We start from the raw sequence: 20,676 nt of genomic DNA, 5'->3' as shown, positions 1-20,676 counted from the left end.
TTTTCTGTTTATTCAAATTTTGCTAGAAATTTTCATAGGAAACTAGAAGGCAGACTATTAAGCACTTGTGCTTACAAAATCATCTCAACCAGAAAAATTTCAATACTTTACCTATTTTTAGGAAGGATGATATTTCAAAATAAGAGCACAATAAAACATGCTGTCACTAAAAAAGAATGGCTTTCCATTCCTCATATGCTAGGACTTTTATAGAGAGAGCAGGTAATTTTGACCAATAAGAAAGATAATTATAGAAGAAGAAGCCTTCCTCAGTTGATTAGCATGGTTCAATGAGCTTCTATCTCATGTTCCAGTGCTGTAGCTGCTGCTAACAGAAATGGAAAAGAATCAAAACATCCTCCTCTGTCATTTCTTTCAACATGACCTCCACTGTTGGCTGCAGTAATATAAGAAACTTGAAAAAGTCTTAAAATCACATGAAGAATTTTAAATATAACACATACAGCTAACTGTTTAAGAAGGACATTCATACCTGCTCTCTCCCGGGTAGGCAGGGCAGAAATTTGGGAACTAGGATTTGGACACAGCAAATTCTTAAACCAAGTTAACAGAAAATACTCTGAAAGAGAGCTCAAGGTTGGGACGGGCTTCAGTACTCTTTGAACATAATAAGGCCAATTTTATAATAGCAAGGGGATTATGAGTCTTATTTGAAAAGCCGGTAGAGACTAATCAGATCTGTGTAAGATATATTTGATCTATCTAGACATTCAGGGTAACCAAAAATTTTTTTTCAAATAACATAAAATGCAATGCATAGTGCAGGATTACAAACACTGTCTTTTCTCTTTGCCTCCTTTCCTGGCATTCAAAGTTTGTCATGAACTCCTTCTCCCAGAGATATAGGTCATAGGAAGATAAAATATCTCTGACTAACAACACAAGTTGGGATGCTGCAAGTTGTAAACTGTAAGGGCTCCAAATAGAGGCTGGATAGTGTTAACTTTTAACTGGAAGAATAGTGGGCCTAAAAAGCAGGAGATTTTGTGATGTGAGAGGAAGTTAAAAAGTCAAAGGCAAGGGATAAGAGGTAATGTAGGCAGACAGAAGCAATCCTAAGAAAGAATTATTCAAGTGGAAGACACTCCCCTGGCCTAGAAATCATCTGTGTATAGACATCATGATAGTGTAGCCAGTGAAGCTGTACAATCATTTACAGATTGAGGGTTAGAGTAATTATTCAATAGTAGGCTTTCATATCTGAGATCCTTCACAGAGTGCCATTTTAATTTTACTACTGGAAACCTAAAATAAACAGATGCTTAAAACTTCTTTGAAATATATGTATGTGAGTATTTACTAAAGGGATCAAGATTGTAACTGGCAAATAGAGGGATGCATTTTCTCCAGTCCTTTGCAGTCAATGTCAAGGATGGAGAATCCTTTAATGGAGAAAGCGTGGCAAAAGATCAATTAAGAGAAGAGAATAAACCAAAGATAAAGTTATAGGTTTCCTCCCAAAAATCATTGCCTCTCCTACACACCAACAAAAACTCCCCAGGAAAGCTACAAAGACACCCTTTAAGCCAAAACTGATCCCCTGGCCTTGGGTACGTTTCCAAAAGAAAGTCAAATTATAAAACTTTTCTCTTGGCTAAATTACTTGTATTAAGGAAATGAGGACAAAGCATAACATTTAAAAATTTTAAATTCTGGGGCAGCAGTTGGATAACATAAAGCTAAGTAAGTACATACATTTGCTAGTGTGTTAGATATTAGATGATAATTCACAATGACACTATGCCCACCCACTTGAATTTTATAACACAATTAAAAACAGACCTAAATACATAGATGATCCTCTCACCACAATTATGCATATTTAGTAATGCAGAAATGTATGACAACAGTGAATACTGACATTAGCTTGAGCATTGTGTATCTCTGCAGTGGGGAAGCAGTCCAACAATAACTTTTTATCTCACTTTTTAAAAACTCTGGCAGAACTACCAGAGAAATGGCCTTGCAGAGAATGAACGCACAAGGAAAAAGGGATTTTTCTGCATCACCTCTAAGGCATAACAAGTAGAAACAGCCTATCTCTTAATCTCTTAAATTAATAAGTACATTTAAACAATTCTCAAATTGCAATGAAATATGATACCATATTAAGGTAGGAAAATTTAGTAAATAAAAGAATGAATTTTTTTTTCTTACAAATCATTGCATTTTGCTCTACTGAACTTGGTCAAATTACATTTGCTTCCATTTCCAAATGATTTCTTTGAGGATAGAGAAATCTTAGCTTTTGTGGATACAACAGTAAAAGGTTGAATCATTTTTCAATCATTGCTTTTAATTGAGCCCTCTGAGCCTCATGACGCAGCTAAATAATGTTTCCTTTAATGACATCTCAACATATTTCATGACTTTTTCATCTCTTTCAGTATTTTAACAAACTCATTTTAGTTGCTGAGAGTTGGTCCCCCTCATTTTAAACGTCATTACCTTGTCTGATTTAACATGCTTTCATTCCTTCCCCAAAATTCATTTACCATCTTGGAATGGAGTGAAAGAGACATGAGCTTCTACCATGCACTTTTTTTTTCTCTTTTACTAACTTTATCCTCTGAAGTTGGGGCAGTGCTCAAGGTCAATTCCATGGAAATTAATTTGCTGAAATCAGTTCACCAAAAAACAATTATTCTAATGGTCAGATTGCCAAATGGTTGATTGGATGAAAAACCTATTTGTTTCTTTTAACTATACATAAATTCTATAGCAATTTCATATTGCATGCTATTTCTGTGGGTTTTAAGTTTTTTATGAGGGTTATTTTAATGACTTTTCATTTTATCTTCTTTTACAGCATTTTATACTTTCCTGCCACATATGGTTGTGTGGGATTTTACTGTAGCAAGATTCTCAGGAAGAAAGGAGGGTTGCTGAACTTCAACCCATGTTCTGATTGTGAAGTTATGAATTTATGGAGCTCTTTCAAACTGGAAGAAATTATTTATTTAATATAATGTAAAAAAAGAGATGTGCTATAAGGAATTAATAGAGAATGAGGCACTGAGAGGAAGGAACAAGAAAAAGGATCCTTTACTGGGAATAAGGTGTAAAAGAGCATAAAAAGGTAACATTTCTTAGGCTGCTAAAATGCAGGATGTAATGATGGGGGAAAAGAAAGGTCAACTGAGGGGGCAAAGATAGGAGATAGTAAAGATATTAACACCGAAAGGCTAAAAGAGGGTTGAAGCAGTAGGAAGTAGAGGTCTCTGATAAAGTTAGCATTACTTTTCTGGTATTTGAGTTGGACAGGTGAAGGGCCAACTTGTCCTACTGCAAAGGAGGTTCATTTATGTGTAGTTTGTTTAAGCTCAAGGTGTTCCTTTAGTCTCAAATGGATGACATCCCGCTGGCACCCTCTGGTGTGTATGACTATTTGTAACCACATGGTGGCAGTACTGGTAATACTGTATTCTCCATCTCCCTTTCACCCTTCCACCACCCTACCCTACCCAGAGGTGTCCAATTTTTTAGCTTCCGTGGGCCACATTGCAAGAAGAAGAATTGTCTTGGGCTACACATAAAATACACTAACATTAATGATAGCTGATGAGCTACAAAAAAAAAAAAAAATCTCATAATGTTTTAAGAAAGTTTATGATTTTGTGTTGGGCTGTATTCAAAGGCGTCCTGGGCTGCATGTGACCCACAGGTCACGGGTTGGACAAGCTTGCTAGACCCTTGGCAGATCTTGGACATATGAGAAGGTGAAAAATCTAACTCCTGTTTCTCTTAGTAATCTGTAAATTAAGGAGGAACAGTACCTGTCCCATTTCTACAGGCAGTCTACCTTTCTTTTTGATGTTCCGCCAATAGCACAAGAGAAGATCACGATGTTTCCAAGTCAATGGGCATATCATTGCCAGTCTTCCATTTGTGAAAGCAACCTCCCTGATGAGAAGGAACTGAATTTTACAGAGCTGTTCTCCTGGTCTTCTGACATTATCAGAGGGTAAAAGTGAAAATAGTATTAGCTTTTAGAGCCACATTGGTTTTTTACAGCTGGCATCCATTTGAATTAGTCAGTGTTGTGCCAAACTGGTTAGTAACTATTTTGAATATCATACATGGTTGAATTTATTCTCTGAGCTGGACCCTCTCAATAATTCTTTTTGAAGGGGTGGCTGGCCCTAATCTCAAGTAATTCTCAGAACCTACTAATTGTAATACTTCCTCTGGTCTCCAGCTTTGGGCCTTGGTAATAATTCTAGGGTGAAGAAAAATCCAGCTGGTCATTTTATACCAGTCTCCTAAAGAGTTTAATAATGCTGCCATGACAATAGGTAGTTCATTCCGTTTTTATTTAATAAGAATCTCTTTTATTATCTTATGCTTGCTTTGATTAATAGTAGAGTACATTATGATGTTTATCCATTTACTCATATAGGTATTCAACACATAAATACGTAGTTTGTATTATGTTTTAAGCAATTTAAGTAAAACAAAAATAAATATAAATAAAATTATAGCCATAAAACCAAGATGCTTAAGTTTTGAGATGAGAAGAAAAAAAGGTCTTAGTATGTTTAGATAAAGCATAGTGACAGTTGAACCAAAGAGATTATGTATATATTTGGAGCAGATTAATTTTACCTGGTTCTTGAAGGAAAGATAGGAATTGAAGCCTCAAAAATAGAAAAGATGTAAGATGGAATGGAGATATCATCAGAGCATTTATCTTCTCATCTGATTTTTTTCTTAAAAGTAGTTAATAATTTTTTCTGCTTTGAATTATATTTCTCTATTCTTATAAAATCTTGTCTGCATCTTGATTAATTTAGACATTCTTAATGACCACATCATAAACTTTTAAGAAAATAATTTCTCTATCTAAATTTTAGTTACATTTTGAGTGCCTACTTATTTGCCTTTCAGAAATAAAAGATACTGTCTTTACCGTCAAGGAACTCACAATCTAGTAATAAGGAAATATGATGGGTAATTAATACTATTCCATTCAAAGTTTCAATTTTGATAGAGAAGCAGGCAACTTACAGTCAAGGTTATTCTTTGTGTGTCAAAGAATTATTGAGAGGGGCAATAATGTGTGTCAAATAATAATCTGCATTTTGCCATCCCTGAATTAGTCTTTCCCCATCTCTCAGTAAGTAAAAATTACTTATTGATGGTCAGGGAAGGTTTCATCTTCATTTCACCCTAGGAGTTCTGGACTGGCATATACATGTCTTCACTTCTTAAAATCGACAGAATTTGAGTAGCTTGTGTTCACTGAATTCTCAGCAACGTGTGACTCACCTTGCACCAACTTCGTACCAGGAATTATTTAGAAAAAGCTTTCTACTGAACTCATCATTTTTTCCTGATGTAGAATATATATACACAATGTGAACAAAATAACACAGCAGACCCTCTTGTTGTGAATTAAAAACAGAATATTTATAAACTTAACAAAAAGATAGGTAGATTTTTAAATGTCATGAACAACTTTAAAATGTTACTTATAAAATCTGAAATTTAAAATGTTTATATATAATATGATTAGTCTTAATATTAAATGGATTTTATGATACTCTTTTAGAAAGGAGTTAAAACACAAAAGAAAAATGAAAGGATCGAGACATCATTATATAATTCACCATATATATTTACTATGATTAAAACTAAATAATAATAAAAATTCTCTATCAATAACTTCTAGAACATAAATATCTCAAACCTTTAAGATAAGTTATTTCTGATGGTAGAACCATAGCTGAATTTTATTTTACTTATAATTTACTGTATTTTCCAAAATTTCTAAAACATATGTATATTATTTTTATCATCATAAAATATTAACATTTCTATAACGAAAAATTTCAAACATACATTGAGAGAAAAGTCCATTCAACTTTCACACATGCAAGTTCCTATTAACAATTAAGATTTGCCCTAGATTGCTTCATCTATCCCTTATTTTATTTTCTTTTTTCAATGTTGAATTTATTTTAAAGCAAATCACAGCTATCATCATTTGCCTCTACATACTTCAGTGTGTATCTCCAAAAAGTATGAACGATTTCTTGTATAAAAACAATGTCGTTATCATTCATAACAAAACTAGCAATAATTCCTTAATACTAAATAATATCAAGCACATAAGCAATTTCCCCAGATTTTTAAAAAACTCTTTTGTACTATTTGTTTTGTCTGAATCAAGATCTACCAAATTTCCACACATTGTTAACACTTGTGTGGAACACTTATGTCTCTGTATGTCTTTCAATATGTAACTGTTCTCACTAATTTTTCTAAGCCACTGATTTGTTTCAGAAAAAAAAAATTTTAACTTCTGGAGTGGTCCTATGCTTAACTTCCTATCTCTTATACTAGTCATAATTATAATCTTTTCTTTTTCATTCCATTTAGTCTACGTATCTCTCTACGTATCTGTCTATGAAGATTTTCTTCATGTCCTGGCTTTCATTTTAGAAGAAATTCCTTCAATCGAGGATTTCTTTCTATTTTACCATTTTCTCTGACATATTTAGAGGAGCAGGATTTCCAATATATTTAGAAAGGAAGAAAAATATTTTCCTTTCTGTGGGAATGGTTTTTGTTTTTATGTTAGAGAAATCCTGCCAGAGGATGATAATTTGAAATATTTGTTCAATGCTTCTGCTCTTTCAGATGTAGAAAAATCCAGCACTCCAAATTGTTAAAAAATTTGTTTGTAAGAATTTCCCTTTTGTCACTTTTGATTAATTAAAATGTTTCTCTCTTTCTCAAGACTTTCCCTATAATAATTTTAGATCATATTCATCATATACTTGATTACTTTTTGCCTTTTTTCTTAATTTTTCTTTTGTATTATTTCATATTTATTAATCTGTGATTAATATAGGAATACAAAACAGTATACTTAATATACACAAATTCAAATAACAGATGCTGGTGAGGATGCAGAGAAAAAGGAATGCTTACACACTGTTGGTGGGAACATAAATTAGTACAACCTCTATGAAAAACAGGATGTAGATTTCTCAAAGAACTAAAAATAGAGCTATTATTTGATCCACTAACCTCACAACTAGGTATCAATCCAAAGGAAAAGAAATCATTATATCAAAAAGATACCTGCACTTGTATGTTTATTCACAGCGCTGTTCACAATAGCAAAGATATGTAATCACTCTAAGTGTTCATCAATGGATGATTGGATAAAGAAAATATGGTATTTATATACCATGTAATACTATGCAGCCATAAAAAGAATGAAATAATGTCATTTGCAGCAACGTGGATGGAACTGAAGGCCATTATCTTAAGTGAAACAACTCAGACACAGAAAAACAAATACCACATGTTCTCACTTATAAGTAGGAGCTAAATAATATGTACACATTAATGTAAAGTATGGAATGATAAACAATGAATACTCAAAGGGTGAGAGGATAGGAGGAGCTGGATGATGAGAAATTAACTAATGAATTCAAAGTAGGTTATTCTGGTGATGAATACACTTGAATCCCTGACTTCACCACTACACATTATATCCGTGAAACAAAAGTACACCTGTACCTCATAAATTTATACAAATAAAAAGCAGTGTTAACCTAATTTTTTGAAACATTGAACCTTGTGCTAAATATTTTTTAAATTATTAAATATGCCACTATGTCAACTTTATATTCCAAAATAGCTTTATTTAATAAGGACATTGAGTACATTTTTTAGAAGTCTGATCTTTTATACATTTGAAAGAGAATTTTTTTGTTGTTCTGAAAAAAAAAAATCTTATTCAAACTTTAGTGTTTTCTTTAAACCGGATGAATAAAATCCTGCCAGATTATTTCAGCAGTGCTTGCAACCTAGCTTCATTTTCTCTCTTCTAGAATCAGATTTGGCTTCCATGAAGAAAATAGGGCACAGTAGAACAGATTCAATAGCTCCCCACTGTCATCACAACTCAGTCACCTTAAACACTGTGTACCATGCCACAGTGTCCTCCCCCCAGTCAAAATGTATATATTTATTTAGCTTTATCTGAACATATGCTTGTTTTCCTCAACCATGTAGAATTACATTGTTTGGGAAAAAGATGTACTATAACCAAACAAAAGCAAAGCACATAAATACTTGCTGTTTTCTTATAAAGACTATTTTCAACAAAGTAAATATTACAGATATTCCTTTACTCTAAGATCATGATAAATTTTTCTGAGCCCAGCAACAGAAACTAGGAATTACTGATCAGGTTGCTGGAGTAATTCATCCCTTTTACATTCAATTCATGGAGGTTTTTGTTTCTCTTTTACTATTTTAGTGAATTATTTCAAGCACATGACAGTCAGGAGTGAACTGAGAGAAGATCAGTACTTGCTTTAAATATTCCTTCTATTTGGATCCAAAGAGCAAATTCACATTCCTAGTCCAGTTTTTGACACTGAGACACATTGAGCCAATTCCTTTTCTTTCTTGAAATTTCCCACCACTGTGGTTTTTTTTGCTCTTTTCTGTGATTGTCCCAGCCAAGCATGCAACTTCATTGACCAGTCTTTATTATGCCGTTGTACCTTCATATACGTTCCTGTGACTCAAGTATTGAGAGACTAGTGAGTTATTTGAAAGAAAACATATTCGAAGTATCAGAGCACAAATTATTGCATTTAGAGTTATTTATTATTACTACATTTAAGTTCACCTATTTATCTATCTGTTTAATGCTGATTTCTTTGCCCGAATTGCCTTGGCAGCACCTGTGTCAGCATTATCAGTGTTGGATTGTAAATTCCTCAGGGACAGATTACGTCTGTCTCGCTTGCTGTGCGCAACAACTAATAAAGCATGTTACAAAGATAGATTCTCAATGTGTTCTGATGGTGATAAATTTTACTGAGTATATTCTAATATCTTATTCTGGTTAAATTTTAAAGGAAAAACTTTACTATCAGTAGATCACACAATTAGCCCCAGTGCATTTGAAAAAGAAAACTAAGATATGAAATGTATTTCAAGTTTAGATCTGAATTATCTGAACTGTATTAATTTTGAATAAATAATTTGTGTAAGATACAATCCAAACATCATTGAGTGGCCAGTAATTTTAAAATACCTTGAAGATGAGGCTCCTGTTAATATCCAGTTAATGATGCAATGGTTTAAAAATATGTTTAATTTAGTCTTTAGTCATTTAAAATTTTAAAGTTAGGTTTGGCTGAAGATTATTATACTTCATTATGGACTGATACCATAGTTATATAATTCTTCAGTAATTAACATGCTGTTAGTATTCTCAGTTTATTTTAAGGTTGCAGTTGTAAGTGGAAGGATGTGAAAATAAATCACTTATAAAACAAGCAAAGATTTGTCACAATATTTTTATTTGACATTAGTAATAATAAATTATACTCCAATGAATTTAGCAACTACTTTTTCTGTCAAAATATTAAAGTGAATTTTATTACAGAAAAGTTTTTTTTAACTTATTGCCCAATGTATTTTCATCCAATGTAAGCAACAGGATTGTGGACTTGTTTTTAGACATCGCCATCTTGGAACATGCCTAATTTACTCTAGCTTCAGAAGAATGTCTACTCTAGAAATTTTAAGAGAAACAATGTGATTTGGATTTTGCAATATTCATAGCTAGGAAGTATTGTTCATCTTTTAGATGGAGATGAACCAACAGTCAGAGAATGCTCCATAGCCCTTCCATAATCCAATCTGCACAATGTCACATCAAACAAATTCTATTTGAATTTCAATACAAAGCACATTCCAAAGGAAATTAAATATTTCACTATTTTAAATAAAGAATGTTTCTTATCTATTCAATTAATTTAGAAATAGGAATATATGTAGATTGTTTTAATGTTAGGCTCTCTCATACTTTGTAAATTAAAGCTACTATGGTGACACTCTTGCATTGCCTGTCTGATCCCTCTAATACTGCCAAGTGAATTAGTGCATTAAGAGGCATTTACCTTCTGTTACCTACCATGGCATTTTTGCTTAGGTCCCTTTTTTGGAATGTTCTTTCTTCCTTTTCTTGGAATATTATTTTTTCTCTTAAAATTGATTTCCCGCACCTGTTACAAGTTTCCAGTTCAAGTTGTACCTTTAATTTGAGGGCTTCCTTGACCATTCTCATTCACAATCCTCTAAGAATATGCCAAAATGTATTAGACACTCATAAAAAATTGTCATATGACAATTGCCATCTTTGTTATTTAAGTGTTATGTTATTGTTAAACTTTGAATGTTTACAAACTTTTCTGTAGAAAATTCTATGTATTTATTTCTTTGCCAAGTGGAATACAGAGGGTTCAATAAATATATACTAAAAAGAGTGAACAAAGAAAATGAATGAAGGAAATGGTCTACAGGGCATTCTCAAACTGAGTAAACATTGTATGGCTCTATGAAGTTGTTTCATTTGGGTAATACCAAATCAGCACTTTGATGGCAAGCAAAAACAGGCTTGTCTGTTAATGCTGGGAACGTAGAACTCATGTTATAAAGACAGATGATTTAATGCTATGAATACTATGGTTTGCTACTAGATATTATATTTTTGATGGATTAGAACTAGTCATATGTTCAGAAGTCTTGGCAACAAACACACTTTTACAAATTGGAAAAATAATTTAAAGTACTATTTCTTTCATAAGTGAGTAATGAAAAAATATAGCAGTCACAAGTGGCTATTTGAGATAAGTTGGATTCAACATACACTCTAATTGGCAAGCACTATCTTTCTTTATTCTTTTTTCACCCATTAAAAATAAACAGGAATGGATATTTTCATAACTTTTGAAGGGCAAGGAAGTTATTAAGAAATAATTTCGCCTTGAAGGGTAAATATTTGTCAGTGTAGGACAAGGGCTTTTCACATTTTGTTCACTTTATTTGCTTGTTTTTTATTTGATTGTTTTTAACTGAAATGTTATATATACATAGATGCACACAAACAAAAAAACAAACAAAATTGAAGTTCTTGCAGAAAAAAAGATGAACCATAAAGAGAAATCATTTGGTATTTAAAATTTTTGTTTTTTTTATATTTACAATGATAGGAAGCAGAGAAAATATGAGAAGAAAAAATATATTAGGAGAGAGAAAAATCTTTTTAAAGAATAGATCATTTTTATTCATCACAATAGATATTGACCTTTTATTTCTGAAGACTTATCTTACAACCATACTTCCACTTATGTTTGGAATTCAGAGCCCCTGTGTTTCTGAGAACCCTAAATCACTAAGGAAGGCTACTTCCCTACCTCTTCTATTTTTCATGCAGACTTTACAGAAAAATATAAGGTGCCTTGTGAAATAACAAAAAAAAAAAAAAATGAAGCAAAATGCATTAACATTTTATGGGAGAACCACTTTTTTCCTTCAACAGTTTTCATATTTCACAAAGTTGGGCCTAAGTTAGCTTTGTCATGAGCACTGAGTGTGAAAGTCCATAAACTTCTCAAACTGGGGTTAGCAAATATATTTTTAGGATTTATAGATTATCTACCAGAATTTTATGTTAATATTCTATTTTCATTTAAATAATTACCCCAAAAAGACAACAAAATAAAAGCAACCTAAAAATAAGCTGAGACTTTTTATATTTCACCTTCCATGGGATGTTGCATTTAGCATAACAAACATAGCAACTGAAATAATTTAAAATACATTTAACCTTTTTGACGTGTCAAAAGGACCTTGAAATCAATCTCATTTGTAATCCAAAATAATGCTTTCTGAAAACTCTCTCCTGTTCCTCTAGCTTTCAATATTGCTCACATCCTTCAGCCTCTGTCTCTAAATTTTTACTATTAAACCTTCTCTAAGCTCCTGCCCATATAATGATTCTTTTCTTTTTTCCCCTTTCCCTTTCCTCTCTTCTTTATTTCCTCTTCTTTATTTTTTCTCAGGTAACTGAATCTTAACCATTTCATAAGCAAATACTTCCTCCTCCCATTTAGTATCTCTTGCCCACATCCCCAAACTAACCAAATGTGAAAGTACTTTGACACATGTAAAGAAACATTATAATCTGCAAAGTAAGCACTAAGAAAAGAAGAGAGAATGCTCAGCTGGTGAGTCATGCAAAAGTAAGAAAGAGAAGAGGCTGTGAATATCCATAAACCAGTAGCTTTCAATTGTTAAATAGCATAACCTTTTTTGGATGGCCAAATAATTTCCATTCTGTTTTTGAGCAACAGTCCCGTTAGTGCTGTGTGACCACATAAATTAAGAGTACTTGCACTTTACCATTACATTAAAAATTTTTCAACCTAAGGACTAGAGTTTGGGAGAGACCATAGTTATTTTCTCAACAGTCCTCACATTTTCACATTTGAGAATGAATATAATGAAGTGGAAGTAGAATGAACCTTCTAAAGTGAGGGTAGATGATTGGATAGAATTGCACAGTATGCTTGGGATGAAAAAAAATGGGAGAATAGTAGGGAATGAAAAAATGAAGAGATCTAGGTGTCACTGAGCACAAAATAGCGAATATAAGAAGGAAAGGGAAATAGATAGGGAAATGCCAAGTGTGTCCTGTGAGAGGAAGCAATAATTTCTACAGCCATCTAAGTTGGCTGGCTTGAACAAAAAAAAGATGGAAATTCATTTTGTTAAAGGGGCCAGTTTAATCAACATTCTTTCAATAATATATATTCACTTATTTTTATTTTCTAATTGACACATAATTGTACATATTTATAGGGTATAACGTGATGTTTCAACACATGTATATATTGTGTAATGATCAAATCAGGATAATTAGCATATCCATCACCTCAAACATTCATTATTTCTTCGTGGTAGGAGCATAAAAAAATCTTCTTTTCTAGTTGTTTTGAGGTATACAATACTTTCTGTTGACTGTAGTCATGCAACTGTGCAATATAACCCCAGAATTTATTCATTTTTTCTATTGTAACTTTTACTGCTTGACCGTTCTTTTCATATATACCCCTTCAGCCTCCCCTCTCCAGTCTCTGGTAATCACTCTTCTACTTTCTACTTCTATGATATCAACTCCTTTAGAATCTGCAAGTGAGTGAGAACATGCAGTATTATCTTTCTGTGTCTGGCTTATTTTACTTAACATAATGATCTTCAGATTTATCTAAGTTGTGGCAAATGACAGGATTTTACTCTTTTTTAAGGCTGAATGGTATTCTGTTGTATATGCCACATATTTTTATTCATTCATTCATTGTTGGACACAAGTTGAGTCCACATTTTGACTGTTGTTAACAGTGCTGCAATAAACATGGGAGTACAGATATCTCTTCAACATACTGGTTTCATTTCCCTAGGATATATACTCAGTAGTGAAATTTTTGGATTATATGGAAGTTCTATTTTTAATTATTTGAGGAAACTCTGTACTGTTTTCCATAACGGCTATAATTTTTTTAAAAAGAGGGAAAAGGATTAAGTATTGTTAAGGATGTGAAGAATTTTCAACCCTCAGACATTGCTGGTTGGAAAGCAAAATGATCTAGTTGTCATGGAAAACAGTTTGGCATTTCCTCAAAAAACTAAACATTGAATTACTTTATGATTCAGCAATTTCACTCCTACATATATAACCTAAAAATTGAAAACAGGTACTCAAATATCTATACACAAATGTCTGTAGCAGCAAAAGTTCATAATAGGCAAAAGGTGAACAAAATCCAACTTTTCACAAATGAATCAATGCATAAAGAAATTGTGGTATATACATAAAATGGGATGTTAAACAGTCATAAAAAGGAATGAAATACTGATATATGCTACAATGTGGATGAACCTCAAAACATTTTGCTAAGTGTAGAAAGCCAAACAAAAACTATTTTGTATAATTCCATTTATAGGAAATATCTAGATTGGATAGATTCATGGAGACTGAAAGCAGACTAATGATTGCTAGGAGCTGAGGAGAGGGGAAAATGATAGCTGACTGATTAATAAGTATGAAGTTTTCTTTTGGGGTGATAAAAATGTTTGAAACTTAACAAAAGTAGTGATTCCACAACATGGTAAATGTATTAAATTTCACTTTATTTTTCATCCTAAAATGTTTAATTTTATGTTATGCTAATTTTATTTATTTTATATATGTACACAAATATATGTATATATGTGTGTATATGTGTATATATGTATGAGTATATATGTGTGTATATATACACACATATATATATAAACTATGCTGGGATACCATTTTTAATTTATTAGATTTGAAAAATACAAAAGCTTGATAATGAACAAAGTGGACTAAATTGTGAAGAAACAGTTACATTCATACATTGCTGTTAGAAATGTTGATTAAGACAAATGTCAAGGAAGAGCAATGCATTTTAATATGGCAACTCCAAAATATAATTGCAGCATCATGTATAATAATATAAGATATACCCCAAATAGCTAAAGTATAATAGAGTCACACAATGGAATGCTGCACTATGCAGCTGAAGAAACAACAACAACAACAAAACTCTGTATAAGCTAATATAAAAAACTTTCAAGCTATATTGCTAAGTATAAAATAATCCAAATTCAAGTGCCTTAGTGTAAAAGAAGATAAAATAGATTTTACATTTATGTATGTGTATGCATATAAAATCTTTGATGATCCTGTGGCAAGATGGCCAAACAGGGACAGCTCCGGTCTGCAGCTCCCAGTGAGATCGATGCAGAAGGTGGGTGATTTCTGCATTACCAACTGAGGTACCCGGTTCATCTCACTGGGACTGGTAGGACAGTGGGTGAAGCCCACCGAGGGTGAGCTGAAGCAGGGCGGAGCATCGCCTCTCCTGGGAAGCGCAAGGGATCGGGAGATTTTTCTCCCCTACCCAAGGGAAGCCATGAGGGACTGAGCCTGAGGAACTCCAGCACAGATACTGCGCTTATCCCATGGTCTTCACAACTCACAAACCAGGAGATTCCCTCCAGTGCCTACCCCACCAGGACCCTGGGTTTCAAGCATAAAACTGGGCGGCCATTTGGGCAGTGAGTGAACTAGCTGCTGGAGTTCTTTTTTTCCATACCCTAGTGGCACCTGGATCGCCAGTGAGACAGAACCGTTCACTCCCCTGCAAAGGGGTGCTGAAGCCAGGGAGCCAAGTGGTCTGGCTTGGCAGGTCCCAACCCCACGGAGCCCAGGAAACTAAGATCCACTGGCTTGAAATTCTCACTGCCAGCACAGCAGCAGTCTGAGATCTACCCAGGACATTTGAGCTTGGTGTGGGGAGGGGCGTCCACCATTGCTGAGGCTTGAGTAGGCAGTTTTATGCTCCACAGCTCACAGTGTAAACAAAGCCGCTGGGAAGTTCCAACTGGTCGGATCCCACTGCAGGTCAGCAAAGCTGCTGTGGCCAGACTGCCAGATTTCTCTTCTATGGGTAGGTCATCTCTGAAAAAAAGGCAGCAGCCCCAGTCAGGAACTTATAGATAAAACCTCCATCTCCCTGGGGCAGAGCACCTGGGTAAAGGGGCCGCTGTGGGCACAGCTTCAGCAGACTTAAACATCCCTGCCTGACAGCTCTGAAGAGAGCAGTGGACCTCCCAGCACAGCGTATGAGCTCTGCTAAAGTTCAGACTGCTTGCTCAAGTGGGTCCCTGACCCCCGTGTATCCTGACTGGGAGACATCTCCCAGTAGGGGCCGACAGACATCTCATACAGGAGAGCTCTGGCTGGCATCTGGCAGGTGCCCCTCTGGGACGAAGCTTCCAGAGGAAAGATCAGGCAGCAATCTTTGCTGTTCTGCAGCCTCTGCTGGTGATACCCAGGCAAACAGGGTCAGGAGTGGACCTACAGCACATTCCAGCAGACCTTCAGCAGAGGGGGCTGTCAGAAGGAAAACTAACAAACAGAAAGGAATAGCACATCCACTCAAAGACCCCATCCGAAGGTCACCAATATCAAAGACCAAAAGTAGATACTTCCACAAAGATGGCGAGAAACCAGCACAAAAAGGCTGAAAATTCCAAAAACCAGATTGCCTCTTCTCCTCCAAAGGACCACAACTCCTCACCAGAAAGGGAACAAAACTGGACAGAGAATGAGTTTGACGAATTGACAGAAGTAGGCTTCAGAAGGTGGGCAATAACAAACTCCTCTGAGCTAAAGGAGCATGTTCTAACCCAATGTAAGGAAGTTAAGAACCTTGAAAAAAGGTTCAAAGGGAAGCCCATCAGACTAACAGCAGATCTCTCTGCAGAAACCCTGCAAGCCAGAAGAGAGTGGGGGCCAATATTTAACATTCTTAAAGAAAAGAATTTTCAAACCAGAATTTCATATCCAGCCAAACTAGGCTTCATTAGTGAAGGAGAAATAAAATCCTTTGCAGACAAGCAAATGCTGAGAGATTTTGTCACCACCAGGCCTGCCTTACAAGAGCTCCTGAAGGAAGCACTAAACACAGAAAGGAACAACCAGTACTAGCCACTGCAAAAACATACCAAATTGTAAAGAACATCAACACTGTGAAGAAACTGCATCAACTAATGGGCAAAACAACCAGCTAGCATCATAATGACAGGAACAAATTCACACATAACAATATTAACCTTAAATGTAAAAGGACTAAATGCCTCAATTAAAAGACACAGACTGGCAAATTGGATAAAGAGTAAAAACTCAGTAGCATGCTGTATTCAGGAGACACATCTCACGTGCAAAGACACACATAGGCTCAAAATAAAGGGATGGAGGAATATTTACCAAGAAAATGGAAAGCATAAAAAGCAGGAGCTGCAATCCTAATCTCTGATAAAACAGACTTCAAACCAACAAAGATCAAAAGAGGCAAAGCAAAGAAGGGCATTATATAATGGTAAAGGGATCAATGCAACAAAAAGAGCTAACTGTCATAAATACATATGCATCCAATACAGGAGCATGCAGATTCATAAAGCAAGTTCTTAGAGACCTACAAAGAGACCTAGACTCCCACACAATAATAGTGGGAGACTTTAACACCCCATTGTCAATATTAGACAGATCAAACAGACAGAAAATTAACAAGGATATTCAGTACTTGAAGTCAGCTCTGGACCAAGCTGACCTAATAGACTTCTATAGGACTCTCCACCCCAAATCAACAGAATATACAGTCTTCTCAGCACCTCATTGCACTTATTCTAAAATCAACAACATAATTGGAAGTGAAACAGTCCTCAGCAAATGTAAAAGAACAGAAATCATAACAAAAAGTCTCTCACACCACAGTGCAATCAAATTAGAACTCAGGATTAAGAAACTCACTCAAAGCTGCACAATGATATGTAAACTGAACAACCTGCTCCTGAATGACTACTAGGTAAACAATGAAATGAAAGCAGAAATAAAGATGTTCTTTGAAACCAATAAGAACAAAGACACAATGTACCAGAATCTCTGGGACACATTTAAAGCAGTATGTAGAGGGAAATTTATAGCACTAAATGCCCACAAGAGAAAGCAGGAAGGATCTAAAATTGACACCCTAACATCAAAATTGAGCTAGAGAAGCAACAGCAAACAAATTCAAAATCTAGCAAAACACCAGAAATAACTAATATCAGAGCAGAACTGAAGGAGATAAAGACACGAAAAACCCTTCAAAAAATCAATGAATCCAGGAGCTGGTGTTTTGAAAAGATCAACAAAACAGATAGACCACTAGCCAGACGAATAAAGAAGAAAAGAAAGAAGAATCAAATAGACATAAAAAAATGATATAGGGGATATCACCACTGATCCCACAGAAATATGAACTACCATCAGAGAATACTATAGACACCCCTATGTAAATAAACTAGAAAATCTAGAAGAAATGGATAAATTCCTGGACACATACACCCTCCCAAGTCTAAACCAGGAAGAAGTCAAATCCCTGAATAAACCAATAACAAGTTCTGAAACTGAGGCAGCAATTAATAGCCTACCAACCGAAAAAAGTCCAGGACCAGACGGATTCACAGGCGAATTCTACCAGAGGTACAAAGAGGAGCTGGTACTATTCCTTCTGAAACTATTGCAAACAATAGAAGAAGATGGAATCCTTCCTAACTCATTTTATGAGGCCAACATCATCCCGATACCAAACCTAGCAGAGACACAACAAAAAAAGAAAATTTCCGGCCAATATCCCTGATGAACATCGATGCAAACATCCTGAATAAAATACTGGCAAACCGAATCCAGCAGCACATCAAAAAGCTTATCCATCACGATCAAGTTGGCTTCATCCCTGGGATGCAAGGCTGGTTCAACATACGCAAATCAATAAACGTAATCCATCACATAATCAGAACCAATGACAAAAACCACATGATTATCTCAATAGATGCAGAAAAGGCCTTCAACAAAATTCAATACCCCTTCGTGCTAAAAACTCTCAATAAACTAGGTATCAATGGAACATATATCAAAATAATAAGAGCTATTTATGAAAAACCCACAGCCAATATCATATTGCATGGGCAAAAAGTGGAAGCATTCCCTTTGAAAACCAGCACAAGACAAGGATGCCCTCTTTCACCACTCCTGTTCAACATAGTATTGGAAGTTCTGGCCAGGGCAATCAGTCAAGAGAAAGAAATAGAGGTATTCAAATAGGAAGAGAGGAAGTCAAATTGTCTCTGTGTGCAGATGACATGATTGTATATTTAGCAAACCCCATCGTCTCAGCCCAAAATCTCCTTGCACTGATAAGCAACTTCAGCAGAGTCTCAGGATACAAAATCAATGTGAAAAAATTGCATTTCTATACACCAATAATAGACAGACAAAGAGCTAAATCATGAGTGAACTCACATTCACAATTGCTACAAAGAGAATAAAATACCTAGGAATGCAACTTACAAGGGATGTGAAGGACCTCTTCAAAGAGAACTACAAACTGCTGCTCAAGGAAATAAGACACAAACAAATGGAAAAACATTCCATGCTCATGTATAGGAAGCATCAATATCGTGAAAATGGCCATACTGCTCAAAGTAATTTATAGATTCAATGCTATCCCCATCAAGCTACCAATGGCTTTCTTCACAGAATTGGAAAAAAACTACTTTAAACTTCATATGGAACCAAAAAACAGCCTGAATAGCCAAGACAATCCTGGGCAAGAGGAACAAAGCTGGAGGCATAACACTATGTGACTTCAAACTATACTATAAGGCTACAGTAACCAAAACAGCATGGTACTGGTACCAAAACTGATACATAGACGAATGGAACAGAACAGAGGCCTCAGAAATAATACCACACTTCTACAGCCATCTGATCTTTGACAAACTTAACACAAACAAGCAATGGGGAAAAGATTCCCTATTTAATAAATGTTGTTGGGAAAACTGGCTAGCCATATGCAGAAAACTGAAACTGGACCCCTTCCTTACACCTTATACAGAAATCAACTCAAGATGGATCAAAGACTTAAATCTAAGACCCAGGACCATAGAAATCCTAGAAGAAAACCTGGGCAATACCATTCAGGACATAGGCACGGGCAAGGACTTCAGGTCTAAAACACCAAAAGCAATGGCAACAAAAGTCAAAATTGACAAATGGGATCTAATTAAACTAAAGAGCTTCTGCACAGCAAAATAAACTATCATCAGAGTGAACAGGCAACCTACAGAATGGGAGAAATTTTTTGCAATCTACCCATCTGGCAAAAGGCTAATATCCAGAATCTACAAAGAACTTAAACAAATTTTCAAGAAAAAAACAAACAACCCCATCAAAAAGTGGGCAAAGGATATGAACAGACACTTCTCAAAAGAAGATATTTATGCAGCCAACAGACACATGAAAAAATGCTTATTATTACTGGTCATCAGAGAAATGCATATCAAAACCACTATGAGATACCATCTCATGCCAGTTAGAATGGCGATCATTAAAAAGTCAGGAAACAACAGATGCTAGAGAGGATGTGGAGAAATAGGGAAGCTTTTACACTTTTGGCGGGAGTGTAAATTAGCTCAACCATTGTGGAAGACAGTGTGGCAATTCCTCAAGGATCTAGAACTAGAAATACCATTTGACCCAGCCATCCCATTACTGGGTATATACCCGAAGTATTATAAATCATTCTACTATAAAGACACATGCACACATATGTTTATTGTGTTACTATTCGCAATAGCAGAGACTTGGTACCAATCCAAATGTCCATCAGTAATAGACTGGATAAAGAAAATGTGGCACATATACACCGTGGAATACTATGCAGCCATAAAAAGGATGAGTTCATGTCCTTTGCATGAGTTCATGTCATGAATGAATCTGGAAACCATCATTCTCAGCAAACTATCACAAGAACAGAAAACCAAACACTGCATGTTCTCACTCATAAGTGTGAGCTGAAATATGAGAACACATGGACATAGGAAGGGGAACATCACACACCGGGACTTGTTGGGGGGTGTAGGGCTACGGGAGGGATAACAGTAGGAGAAATACCTAATGTAGGTAATGGGTTGATGGGTGTAGCCAGCCATGTCACGTGTATGCCTGTGTAGCAAAACTGCACGTTCTGCACACGTACCTCAGAACTTAAAGTATAATAAAGAAAAAAATAAAAAGTTGTTAAACCACATGATTCTTTCTGATTTTAAAACAATATAACTGTTTGGAATCCGTTTTTCATTGAAATATTGAAGTTATCTTACAGCATTTTAAAACATAATTTTCTTTGGATCTTGTATGAAATT

At 35.0% G+C, this 20,676-nt stretch overlaps 1 long non-coding RNA gene across 2 annotated transcripts in view, besides 1 other annotated feature; it reads right to left on the bottom strand.

Annotated features, from left to right (window-relative positions):
- Nucleotides 1–20,676, bottom strand: part of LOC105377862 (uncharacterized) — a 322,839-nt gene that overhangs the window by 232,762 nt on the left and 69,401 nt on the right. The window contains exon 3 of one of the 2 annotated variants that reach the window (NR_187979.1): nucleotides 14,072–15,385. The exons of the other annotated variant lie outside the window; for it this stretch is intronic. This is a non-coding gene — a long non-coding RNA (uncharacterized LOC105377862). Of the gene's footprint in view, nucleotides 1–14,071; nucleotides 15,386–20,676 lie in introns of those variants that run through there. 2 annotated transcript variants of the gene reach the window in all.
- Nucleotides 14,974–15,605: an enhancer, noted in NCBI's record as "H3K27ac-H3K4me1 hESC enhancer chr6:77559139-77559770 (GRCh37/hg19 assembly coordinates)". NCBI's record gives its function as "activates a minimal SCP1, AML or CMV promoter by ChIP-STARR-seq in primed H9 embryonic stem cells {active_cell/tissue: H9 hESC(primed)}" and the evidence as "EXISTENCE:reporter gene assay evidence [ECO:0000049][PMID:30033119]".

Source organism: Homo sapiens, chromosome 6 (genome assembly GCF_000001405.40).
Source record: "Homo sapiens chromosome 6, GRCh38.p14 Primary Assembly".
NCBI classification, from domain to species: Eukaryota; Metazoa; Chordata; class Mammalia; order Primates; family Hominidae; genus Homo; species Homo sapiens.
This window is presented reverse-complemented; position numbering and strand designations above follow the sequence as displayed.